We start from the raw sequence: 13,340 nt of genomic DNA, 5'->3' as shown, positions 1-13,340 counted from the left end.
TGACATAGAGTAAAAATTATGAACATTATTGAGAGAAATTTTAAAAGAACTAAAAAATGTATGGATATGGCATATTTATGACTTAAAAGACTTAGTATTGGAAAATGTCAATTTTCCTTAAATTGACATACAGATCCAATGCAATTCCAATCAAAATCCAGCAGATTTTTAAAAACAGACAAGCTGATTTCAATGATATAAAAATGCAGTGTCAAGAAAAGCAAAGATAATCTGCAAGAACAAAGCTGAAACTTACATTTCCAGATATCAAGACTTATTTTAATGCTACAGTAGATATCTCACAATGGTATTGGCACAAATAAACAAACAGATCAATGAAACAAAGTAGGGTCCATAAATACATTGTTATTACCAGACTTCAGAGAAATAGGCAATGGATCATTCTTCACCTAATGGCTCTAGGTCAATTAAACAGTCATATAGAAAAAATATTGATTCTATTATACCTCACAATATATACAAAATAATTTCTAGATGGATTATAGCCTTTGGTGTGAAAAGAAAAATATTAAGGCTTCCAAACACAAACATAGAAGAATATCTTAGGGGATGGGCATGTATTCCCAGGACTTTGGGAGACCAAGGTGGGAGAATCGCTTGAGCTCAGGAGTTTGAGACCAGCCTGGGCAACACAGCTGGATCCTGTTACTACAAAAAAAAAATTTTTTTTGTTTAATTTGGCTGGGCACAGTGGCTCACACCTGTAATCCCAGCAGTTTGGGCGGCTGATGTGGGTGGATCACTTGAGGTCAGGAGTTCAAGACCAGCCTGGCCAATAGGGTGAAACCCTGTCTCTACTAAAAATACAGAAAACTTGCTGGGTGTGGTGGCATACACCTATAATCCCAGTTACACAGGAGGCTGAGGCAGGAGAATAGCTTGAACCCATGAGGTGGAGGTTGCAGTGAGGTGAGATCGTGCCACTGCACTCCAGTCTGGGCGACAGAGAGAGACTCAAATAAATAAATGAATAAATAGCCAGGCATGGTGGTGTGCACATGTAGTCTCAACTACTTGGAAGGCTGAGGTGAGAGAATCACTTGAGCCCAGGAGGTCAAAGCTGCAGTGAGTCATGATTGTGCCACCGAACCCCAGCCTGGGCAACAGAGCAAGACTGCATCTCAAAACAAAACAAAACAAAACAAAAACCCACAAACAAACAACAACAAAAAGAAGAATTTCTTCATGATTCTGGATGAGGCAGATTTCTCAACCAGGATACAAACAGCACTAAGTATAAAGTTAAAGGCTGATAAACTACATTACAGTAAAATTGAGAACTTCTGTATAGGCAAACTGATAGCCCTAAATACATTTAATGGAGAAAAAAAATGAAAATAGAATGAATTAAGAATTCAGCTCTAGCAGCTGAAAATATAATACCAAAATAAACCCATACAAAGATAAAAGAAGTAAATAAAAATTTATATAAATAGAAATGTAAAAAAAACTCTGAGTTAACGAACAAAACAAAAATGTAGTTGTTAGATGTCTCAGAGACAATGTTTGGATGGTCTGAACAAAACAACAATTACGCAAGGAACCAATAAACGAGTTTAGGAATGAAAGAGACATTGTTATAGGTAAAGAGGAGATTGTTTTTAACAATAAGGGAATACCATGATTACATTTGAAGAGCTAAGTTTGAAAAATGGATGAATTGGATACTTCCGTAGAAAAATGTAAATTTCAAAATTGGCTAAAATAATAAGCCTAAGAGAAACATAAATGGTTTCTAAGTCTTTTCCATTACCACCGAAAAGAAAAATAAGAAAAGAAAAGAAAAAAAGAGAGAAAAGGCATTAAGCCAGATGTGTTACAGAAAGAGAAATCCTTAGTGTAGTAGACACATTTCATTGCCTACCAGCATCCATTTCTCCTTTCCAGTCTACAGACACTCAATTTTGTTCTTGTTCATTCCTTCCTCCTGTGTCTTACACATACATCCTGATTGTTCTTTTTTTTATTTATTTTATTTTATTTTATTTTTTGAGATGAAGTCTCGCTCTGTCACCCGGCCAGAGTGCGGCTGTGCAATCTCGGCTCACTGCAACCTCCACTTCCCGGGTTCAAGTGATTCTCCTGCCTCAGCCTCCCAAGTAGCTGGGATTACAGGCGCGTGCCACCATGCCCAGCTAATTTTTGTATTTTTAGTAGAGATGGGGTTTCACCATGTTGGCCAGGATGGTCTTGATCTCCTGATCTCATGATCTGCCTGCCTCAGCCTCCCAAAGTGCTGGTATTACAGGCGTGAGCCACCGCACATCCTGATTGTTCTACGTGAATCACCATGGTCACATTTGCCTTGCTAGTGGCAGGACCCATGAGTGTTCTGCTCAGATACACAACTGCAAAGGGTGTCACTGGCCAACAGCCCCAGTTCTGGGTCAAGCTTCCCATGGGATGCTCCTAGCCAGTGACTAAGCACAGCAAGGGTACTGAAGGCAGAGCCATTCTTGGGAGACACTGGAGTCCTATGATGAATGACATTGGCTCAGGGTTTCCTCTCCAGCTTTGCTGAATTCTCCTAGAACCTACTGCATTTAATATGCTTGTATCCAACCTTCCTTCCTTCCCTCTCTCCTTCACTCATGGTCAGATTTTCAGTGCAAACTGACGGCTCTCTCAGCATCACCCTGCTTTCTCTCCCTCTTTTTTCTCACAGGCATTTCCTGAATAAATTTCTTTCACTTCTCATCCTGCCTTGGCATTTGATTCTTAGAGGACCCAGATGAACACAGTGGTGGATGGTATAGAGTGGGCACGTGACCCAATTCTTGTCGATGAGAGGTGGTAAAAGGTCTACTGTGGAGTTTCTGAGGTTTCCTCGCTGAGAAGGTCCACAAGAAAGACAAACGCCTACCGGGCTTCCGGAGATCACATCGTCTTGTTCACATGTGACACCTGGACCAGTGCCTTTTACTTTCAGTGCAGGGCAAATACACAGCAACTTACTCAAATCCATGCATGATATCCTCAGATGGGCCCTAATTGCTGCCAGTGAGCACACTATCTTTCCCCTAGTCCCTCGACACTGTCATTCTTGTCTTGCTGCACGTTCTCGGTGGTGTGGCTGGGACCCCTATCCAATCCTTGGCTGGCTTTAGAGCTCTGCATCTAGGGAGACCATCGGCTTTATTGTTCATGCCAGGATGGCTCTGAGAGTGAAAGGAGGAGCTACTAACAATTAAGCAGGGGTAACAGGCACAAACTGGGCCTTTTCTGAACAAAATAGGACCCATAGTCTCTCTACCTACACCTCTCCGCTAAAGGGTCATTTTGCCAGCACCATGTCACCCCCTGGCCAGTCAGGAGTACACTAAATTTTCTAGATGTCTTCCATTACCACTCAGGAACTGAAGGAGACTCCGGGGAGACTCAACCTGTGACTAAACATTTCATGGCACTAATTCCACTTTCACTCTCATGTGGCTTCTCTGGGTTGCTGCTGATGGAGGTGGGATCCCTATGAGGCGCTTTCCTCTGGGAGCTCTGCGTGGGATGGGAGCAAAAGCTCCTTTTCTGCTTTTGGCTTTCCCTGAAAGCCTCCCTGCCCTGGAGAGCAACCACCATCATGAATTTCATGGCTCGCTGCCCGCTTCCTTTGTCCTGGCGCCAGGAGAGGGAGAAGGCTTTCCACATCCTGGCTGGACATGCCCTGTGGTGCACATCCTCCTGAGGACACTAGACCGAGGTGCAGCCTTACTGGAGAAAGGAGCATCCTCTCCATGTTATAGAAGATGTGCTATGGGTTAGGACCCCGGGCTTGGCCCTGGAAATGTTATGGGGACTAAATCAATTTGGAAAATCTTCATCTCTCTCCACTAAGGGTGGCTGTCAAAACAAAAGACTAAGCTAAAAATAATAATAACCCTACTTTAATCATGAAAAGATGAGCATGAATGCTTTCTCTTGCACTCCTGCTAATCACTCACCTGCCATACCACTGCTGTCAAATCCGCAGGGCAAACAGCTCTGCTGACAAAGCAGATGGTGAAGTACAGAGAATGGCAAAAGAGAAATGCACATTAACATTTGCAAAAGTGTATTACCACTGTTTGATGAGGAAAATGAGTTTTATAATAAAAGTATGTGGCCAGCCATGGTGGCTCACACCTCTAATCCCAGCTCTTTAGGAGGCTGAGGCAGGAGCGTTGCTTGAGCCCAGGAGTTCAAGGCCAGCCTGGGTAACATAGTGAGACTCTGTCTCTACAAAAAAATTAATAATTAGGTGGCTGTGGGGTTGTGTGCCTGTAGTTCCAGGTAGTTGGGAGGCTGAGGCCAGAGGATTACTTGCAGCCTGTACTTGGCCTGGGTGACAGAGCAAGACCCTATCTCAAAAACAAACAAACAAAAAAAACCAATGGTATAAAAATGAATTCAAATTCAACTACTTGACTTGGCCACTTCAAAAGAATTCATTCTTCCATTTACTTTTTATTATTTATTTTTTTAATTACTATTTTTTTGAGATGGAGTCTTGCTCTGTTGCCCAGGCTGGAATGCAGTGGTGCGATCTTGGCTCACTGCAACCTCTGCCTCCTGGGTTGGAGTAATTCTCCTGCCTCAGCCCCCTGAGTGGCTGGGATTACAGGTGCGTGCCACCACGTCCGGCTATTTTTGTATTTTTAGTAGAGATGAGGTTTCATCATGTTGGACAGGCTGGTCTAGAACTCCTGACCTCAGGTGATCCACCCGCCTTGGCCTCCCTAAGTGCTGGGATTACAGGCATGAGCCACCACGCCCAGCCACATTCTTCCTTTTAAACATTATTTTAAGAATTAGATATTACAAAATGTTATCCCCTCTAAAATAGTCACTGTTGTTTTCAGTGTTTCCATTTTGAAATGTATCCTTCCAAATTATTTTTAAAAATATACATATACATATACGTGTGTGTACATACAAACTCATAGAAATATGCAGCTTATGTGTGTTTTTATAAATGGTGTCAATAAACAATATATTATTAAGATCTACTGATGCTGACACTGTAACCAAACAATATCTTGAAATACTAATCTTTGTGGGTACTTTCCTCGTTTCATCATTGTATTAATGTCTCCTATTCAGTCAAGGACCTCCAAGTTGACTTGAGAAGAATACAGATTCTCTGAGTAGTAATTAAAAGAGAACAAAAACTCTGTGTGTGTGTGTGTGTGTGTGTGTGTGTGGTGTATATTTTCTACTTGAGAATCACATAGGAAGGCCCTAAGGAGGGCAAGGAAAGCATAGAATTTATGTCATAACAATAGACCAGAGAGAGACTTTAAAAAAAAAGGTAATTATGGCTTCCCCAAAACCTTTCATAATATGACTGTCTAAGAAGACTATTGGATCAATGCTTTAAGGATATGACACAGAAGTCAGAAACATAAATGTCTGTGGAGGCTAGGCAGATGCTATAAATGCCCAGATCAGGATGAATGGCAACCAACCACTTACGCCTTTAGTGTTAGGGACACAATACACAGTGGTGTGGACCACGGCAGACCCGAGACTGGAAGGCAGCTGTTCCTCAGTTACAGTCACTTATTGCTATTGTAAAATGCAAGCTCTTCCCATTTTTACAGAGAAGCAGAAAGAAAAAAAAAACAAACCCTGATCTTTTGATGTAAAAATCTCTTGATTTTTAAGAGTTGATTATTCAAAATCCAAAGTTTCAGAAACAAAACAATACACTGTGCAGGCCAACGCTTGGCCAGTCCCACTGCAGGCTGAATTTGTATCTCAGGGATTGGGATGAGTCAGCAACTCTAATCTACCTCCGTGCATGTTCCTCTGCTGACACAACTGATGTCTCAGTGAAACATTCCGTGACAAATTAATATGTAGAACACAGACAGCTTTTTAAAGCTAAAGGGTTTTTTTCATACAGAAAAATATAACTGGTAATTGGGGCTATTTCCTAGCTTCCATTTACATTTTGGAATGGGTTTCTGAAACAGGATACGGCAAAACCACACACTGAACTATCTTTTTCATTTCTTAGGCATTTTCAAATTTATCAGAAGAGTTTCAAACTGTGTCACCTTGGAAATATATTGGCCACTATACTTCATGTCCTCTGAATGAGGGAAGATGCCCCAGCAGTATCCAGAGAGGGGACACAGGCTCATGGTTCCAGAGAAGAAGAGTTCTTCTGAAGGTATCTTGTGACAAGTATCTGTCATAGAACATCTGGGGAAGCAAATCCTGATCTTGAATCAGCCCACCGCAAGACTGCATGTTCTAAGGGCTGAAGGTCGAAGTAAAGACGCCTTAAGGATAACTATCTTAAAGGAGGCTAAGGAATGAGCCGCTGTTGTCTCTGCTCTCCTTTGCAAGAAGACATGCAGCGGCACAATACTGGTTTAGGATATGGTGCATTTAACCATCGGCCGTTTTCACCAAACTCTATCTAAAACTGAACACAGCTACTTGGGAGGTTGAGGCAGAAGGATCACTTGGGCCCAGGAATTCAAGGCTATGACTGCAGCTGTGAATAGCCACTGCAGCAGCCTGAGCAACACAGGGAGACCCTGTTTCTTAAACCAACAAACAAACTGAACAAAGCAACCAGAGATTATAAATACAGAATCAATCCTTCCCCCATAAAAGTGAAGTTTGTTTTTTAACTGTTAGGGTTAGGAGCAGAAATTTAAGAGTGCTGAACAATTTTTAAGAATGGACTGCCAAGATGGAAATATTGATGACACATGCTCTGTATAAAAAACAATGATTGATGACCTCTTGCTAAACAAACTCATTGTTTTAAAAATCAAGATGTTCTGGGATTCAGGTACATGAAGTTTATGAAGAGGATCATCCTACCTTGAAGATGAAATCAGCCATCAGAGGTCCTGGAATCTTAAAAGTTTGCCTCTCGGAGCCCCTCTGAAATTCCACTGTTGTGTTTTCTACGAGAAAGACGCCGGGGCTGTTAAAGCTGTGTTCTCCTTTGCTTCCTTGAAGTGTTTTTGATTCAATAACTAAAATTAAAATATATGATTCAAATAAGAAACAATCTTAAAGGTATTTTATTACAAAAGACATTTTAGCAAATACAATGTCAGTATATGATATCAAAACAATGTCAAAATAGCCACTCAGTTTACAAACATTCATTGATATTGGTGGAATAGATATATCAGATTTTTAATTGCCCGTAACAAAAGGAGCTAACAAGGGTGGCAGGCCCAAATAGTTCTACTCAAATATTTGGAGCCATTTCTAGCATAAGGGGAAAGAGAAAACTTTTCTTTCTTTATATGTTTTCATGATTTAGCTAATACTCAAAGTAAAGCTATGTTCACTCATTTTATTACTTGTTCAAAAGATCTTATGCCTACTCTTTTAGACAAAAATCACAGCAAATTTCAAATTTGCTTTTTATCAAACAAAACTTTTGATTTTGAAATAATTTCAGATTAACAGGAAGTTGCAAAAATAGTATAGAGAGGTCCTTTGTAACCTTCATTCCCTTTTGTCTAATGTTTACATGTTACAAAAGTATAGTTGAATATCAAAACCAGGAAATTGACACTGGTACAATATGTGCATATAGTTCAATGCCATTTTATCACCCACCACCACAATCAAAATACAGAACCACTCCATTGCCACAAAGACCTCCCTTGTGCATGAAACCCCTTTATGTGAATTTGCTTTCACATGAACAAAAGTGCTTTTAAGATTTCCTACAGAAAAAAAGTTTGCTTATCACAGTTTAAACAAAAAAACATTTGTACTTTATTTAAATTTCTGTCTTTCCTCCCTCTTTCTTTTCTTTCTTTTATTTTCTAAGTGTCACCACACTTAGTAGATCTGGTTTCATGTTGAGAGAGGCAACAAAAAATGTATATACAGCTAGGTTCTGGGGCACCTGCGTTTCTGGCCCCGTATTTTTCTCTAACTTTCTGCCTTGGGTTTTCATTGCCTCATACCTAAAATGAGGAGTCAGAGCAGACAATCTCTCAGGTCCAGCTCTATTCTAAAACCCACACTTGATTCAATGATATCATACCAGTCTTTAAAAATCTCAAACAAAGAACACAGAAGAACCAAAACTCCGTTGAGTGTCAAAAATGGAAAGCTGATAAAATGCAACAAAATCGTCCAGCATTAGGGAGCTTCCATCCATAGCCTGCTGGGCTTTGGTTGTTTTCATTTGCTGGATTTTTCTCTGTCACTGGAGCAGCTGCAGGAATTCAAGTGCCCTGGACAGACTGCATAACAGGCCTTAGGAGACATCCCTGATTATCCCTGACAGGCAGGCTGGGAACTTTTCTGGGAAAATTCAAAGGCTGGACATGAGCTACTTGATCTGGAGGAGTCATTAGTGGTCGAAGAATAATGCTGGCTACTTGCAGGCATACAAAACCCCAACCACTTTGGCCCTGATCTCCATGACCGCAATAGATTTTTGGAAAGTGTGAGATTAAATTCATTTCCTAGTTCCAATGAAGATATAAAACTGAGTGTTATAAAGTGAGTTGTCAGTAAAAATGAAATGGGGAACTAGAGATAGTAAATGGGCCCTACAATGGATGTCTCTAAAGTCCATGAGAAAAAAAAATGATAAGCAATAAGAGCATTAAGGCAATATTAAGATGCAAAGTTCAGTGGAACATAACACATCCTCACAGAAGGCATGCAAAATACAAGTTTCTAGACACTGATTTAGCCTGAAATGACTTGATTAAATTCAAGTAGCGTGCAATGGATTCCGCGGCTGTGTTGGAGTAGTAATTGCTTTACCATTGTGCTAACCTTCTGGACCACAGCGTTCCAAGTTGCAGATCGGGATGCAGAATTGGGGCAAGGGGTGTAAAAATCTGGGAAGGTGATCTGGGAGGAAGGGAGGACCAGTTGCTACGATATCCATTCCCTAAACCATAGGCCAGCATTTTTGTTAACTTGGTTTTGATACTTTGTTTTTAATACAGAATCTAGCCACTATTTTAATGGTGTCTAAGAGTCTCAGTGACATGGATATAAAAACACAAGTAGCAAAAACAATTTTCAAGTTCACATAAATTACCCAAACCACTCTGCTTCTCCACTAAATGGTACGCTTATTGTAAAATATTTTTAATTTGAGTATTTCAAAAGGCTTCCAGTTCTCTAAAGCACAAACACTGGTTGCCTATCTAGGAGGCAGAAAGCAGGTGTTTTGACCTCAATTGTGTAAATGGGTAAGCAGAGTCAAAGGTGGGTGAAGAAAGACTGGTGAAGTGATTTGGTGAAGGTGGAGTTTATGGATGCAAACAATTCTGATAATCTGGATTAACAAAGCCACTGTGCCCAATCCACAGCAAGGTGGAGGCCGATGCAGTTCTTTAAAAGTTGTCATTTTTATTGGTGGCAAACTTGCTTCTTTGTGCTGGTGCCTCTTAAAAATAAATGACAAAAAAAGGAGTTTGTGGTGTTTCAATCAACAATTCAGATGATGTATTGACTTATGGATACCTTTAAGTTTTTATTAATTTCCACCATTTCCCTATATTTACTGTAGCCCCATGTTGTTCACAATGTGTGATTCATAGCTAGTGAGAGCTGCATGCACAAGCCCTTCGGTTCTCAGAGGTTTCACTGACCCTCTGTGGTTTCCGCAGCAAGGTGGTTAGTGTGTAGGCGACCCCAGGAAGCCTATAAGCATCCCCACCAGAATTAAGGGAAGAGAGTGTGAGCCTTCTTTCCTGCTGCCCACGGCCCAACTTCTTTCTCCTCTCCAGACTTAATATTGAGGGGAGGGAGGGAAGTGTTGAGGAAGATATGATAGGTAGTCTCAAAAAGAGTAAAAATTAGAAATCAAGACTTTCTTGTATCCCAAAATCTTCACAACTCAGGTCTCTAGTGATGCCTTTAAATATTTTAATCCACTACTAGTTATTTGTAAAAGAAATTATGCCTAGAAAATGATGAATGCTTCTAATTGCTTCTAGTTGAAGGATCTGCACTGAGAAGTATCAGTTCAGGCTTCTTTCAAAAAAGGCAGGGTCATGGTAACCATCCCCAAGAGGTCTCCCTAAATTCTAAAGGCCATGAAAGTACTGTCAGGTAAATGTGGAATGAGTGTTTAGCATGGCTAACATAGTTATAAATACATCAAACTTATATGTACAGTAGAGCTGTATTTCTATAGCATATGCTAATTTCATTCATGTCAATTTCCTTTGACTGGTCATCAGGTACTGCATCCATGCTTATATTTATACATCTCTATATATGGTCCTCAGATAGGGCTTAAAGGGAAAATATTCTTCCAACTGAATTGGAGGTTTTTGGTTTATGACCTCTTGGCTTCTTAAGTTTACTGCTAGTTAAACACATTTAATGCTAAGGTTTTGCTACAATAAAATCTGTTTTGCAGGGATCTGCTTATTGCTTCCATTTTTGAAGGGATGCACTCCTGGAAAATTTGGGGCTGTGTGCTCCCCATAATGCTGTGGCCAGGCTTGGGACAGGACTGGAAATTCAGGATCTAAACAAACACCTCTAGGCAGTATGTAAGATGGATATTCTGTAATTAAAATTCACTTCACAGCAAAGAGACTGACATTGATGTTGCTGGGTATTTTCAGTTCTTAGTAATGCAGTCTTTTGGATAGTTATAGTTAATGTGGATATTAAAAGAATGATTTATTACTGCAAAATAAGCTTCATTTCAGAAATATCTCTTTTACAAATAAAAACTAAGAAAAAAGTTGCATAAATCCAGAAAATAAAACCACTTCTATATTTAGATATTCAGAAATGTTAACTAAGTCCTTAGTAAATGAAGCCAGTTCTATTCATCAGCAAAGAAGGATAACTTTCAGAAATACTTCTACTGCCAATTGTGAGATTGTTCAGAAAGGGAAATAGTCCAAGCAACAGATTTGTCACTCTTGGAGAAATGGGAACATTTCTGAGCCCTGTTCTTGGACGAGTGCCAGTCTTGAATATAAAGTTATGTTGAATATGCCAGAACATATACACATAAATGAATTTTTGCCTCAAAGTGTTCACCTTTACTTATTCTTTTTTTTTATTATACTTTAAGTTTTAGGATACACATACACAATGTGCAGGTTAGTTACATATGTATACATGTGCCATGTTGGTGCGCTGCACACATTAACTCGTCATTTAACATGAGGTATATCTCCTAATGCTATCCCTCCCCACTCCCCCCACCCCACAACAGGACCCGGTGTGTGATGTTCCCCTTCCTGTGTCCATGTGTTCTCATTGTTCAATTCCCACCTATGAGTGAGAACACACAGTGTTTGTTTTTTTGTCCTTGTGATAGTTTGCTGAGAATGATGGTTGCCAGCATCATCCATGTCCCTACAAAGGACATGAACTCATCCTTTTTTATGGCTGCATAGTATTCCATGGTGTATATGTGCCACATTTTCTTAATCCAGTCTATCATTGTTACACATTTGGGTTGGTTCCAAGTCTTTGCTTTTGTGAATAGTGCCACAATAAACATACATGTGCATGTGTCTTTATAGCAGCATGATTTATAATCCTTTGGGTATATACCCAGTAATGGGATTGCTGGGTTAAATGGTATTTCTAGTTCTAGATCCTTGAGGAATCACCACACTGTCTTCCACAATGGTTGAACTAGTTTACAGTTCCACCAACAGTGTAAAAGTGTTCCTATTTCTCCACATGCTCTCCAGCACCTGTTGTTTCCTGACTTTTTAATGATCACCATTCTAACTGGTGTGAGATGGTATCTCATCATGGTTTTGATTTCATTTCTCTGATGGCCAATGATGATGAGCATTTTTTCATGTGTCTTTTGGCTGCATAAATGTCTTCTTTTGAGAAGTGTCTGTTCATATCCTTCACCCACTTTTTGATGGGGCTGTTTTTTTCTTGTAAATTTGTTTGAGTTCATTGTAGATTCTGGATATTAGCCCTTTGTCAGATGAGTAGATTGCAAAAATTTTCTCCCATTCTGTAGGTTGCCTGTTCACTCTGATGGTAGTTGCTTTTGCTGTGCAGAAGCTCTTTAATTTAATTAGATCTCATTTGTCAATTTTGGCTTTTGTTGCCATTGCTTTTGGTGTTTTAGACATGAAGTCTTTGCCCATGCCTATGTCCTGAATGGTATTGCCTAGGTTTTCTTCTAGGGTTTTTATGGTTTTAGGTCAAACATTTAAGTCTTTAATCCATCTTGAATTAATTTTTGTATAAGGTGCAAGGAAGGGATCCAGTTTCAGCTTTCTACATATGGCTAGCCAGTTTTCCCAGCACCATTTCTTAAATAGGGAATTGTTTCCCCATTTCTTGTTTTTGTCGGGTTTGTCAAAGATCAGATGGTTGTAGATATGCGGCATTATTTCTGAGGGCTCTGTTCTGTCCCATTGGTCTATATCTCTGTTTTGGTACCAGTACCATGCTGTTTTGGTTACTGTAGCCTTGTAGTATAGCTTGAAGTCAGGTAGCGTGATGCCCCCAGCTTTGTTCTTTTGGGTTACGATTGACTTGGCAATGTGGGCTCTTTTTGGTTCCATATGAACTTTAAAGTAGTTTTTTCCAATTCTGTGAAGAAAGTCATTGGTAGCTTGATGGGGATGGCGTTGAATCTATAAATTACCTTGGGCAGTATGGCCATTTTCACGATACTGATTCTTCCTACCCACGAGCATGGAATGTTCTTCCACTTGTTTGTATCCTCTTTTATTTCATTGAGGAATGGTTTGTAGTTCTCCTTGAAGAGGTCCTTCATGTCCCTTGTAAGTTGGATTCCTAGGTATTTTATTCTCTTTGAAGCAATTCTGAATGGGAGTTCACTCATGATTTGGCTCTCCGTTTGTCTGTTATTGGTGTATAAGAATGCTTGTGATTTTTGCACATGATTTTGTATCCTGAGACTTTGCTGAAGTTGCCTATCAGCTTAAGGAGATTTTGGGCTGAGACGATGGGGTTTTCTAGATATACAATCATGTCATCTGCAAACAGGGACAATTTGACTTCCTCTTTTCTTAATTGAATACCCTTTATTTCTTTCTCCTGCGTGATTGCCCTGGCCAGAACTTCCAACACTATGTTGAATAGGAGTGGTGAGAGAGGGCATCTCTGTCTTGTGCCAGTTTTCAAAGGGAATGCTTCCAGTTTTTGCCCATTCAGTATGATATTGGCTGTGGGTTTGTCATAGATAGCTCTTATTATTTTGAGATACGTTCCATCAATACCTAATTTATTGAGAGTTTTTAGCATGAAGCGTTGTTGAATTTTGTCAAAGGCTTTTTCTGCATCTATTGAGATAATCATGTGGTTTTTGTCTTTGGTTCTATTTATATGCTGGATTACGTTTATTGATTTGCGTATGTTGA

At 39.9% G+C, this 13,340-nt stretch overlaps 1 protein-coding gene across 12 annotated transcripts in view, besides 1 other annotated feature; it reads right to left on the bottom strand.

The window, feature by feature from the left end:
• Positions 1-13,340, bottom strand: part of ADAMTSL3 (ADAMTS like 3) — a 385,720-nt gene that overhangs the window by 162,049 nt on the left and 210,331 nt on the right. For all 12 annotated transcript variants that reach the window (XM_011521823.3, XM_017022434.2, XM_011521822.3 and 9 more), the window contains one exon: positions 6,835-6,992. In XM_011521823.3, the coding sequence (XP_011520125.1) occupies positions 6,835-6,992 (158 nt within the window). The remainder of the gene's footprint in view (positions 1-6,834; positions 6,993-13,340) is intronic.
• Positions 5,512-5,561: an enhancer, noted in NCBI's record as "active region_9975". NCBI's record gives its function as "activates an Ori minimal core promoter by ATAC-STARR-seq in GM12878 lymphoblastoid cells {active_cell/tissue: GM12878}" and the evidence as "EXISTENCE:reporter gene assay evidence [ECO:0000049][PMID:35858748]".

Source organism: Homo sapiens, chromosome 15 (assembly GCF_000001405.40).
Source record: "Homo sapiens chromosome 15, GRCh38.p14 Primary Assembly".
NCBI lineage: Eukaryota > Metazoa > Chordata > Mammalia > Primates > Hominidae > Homo > Homo sapiens.
This window is presented reverse-complemented; position numbering and strand designations above follow the sequence as displayed.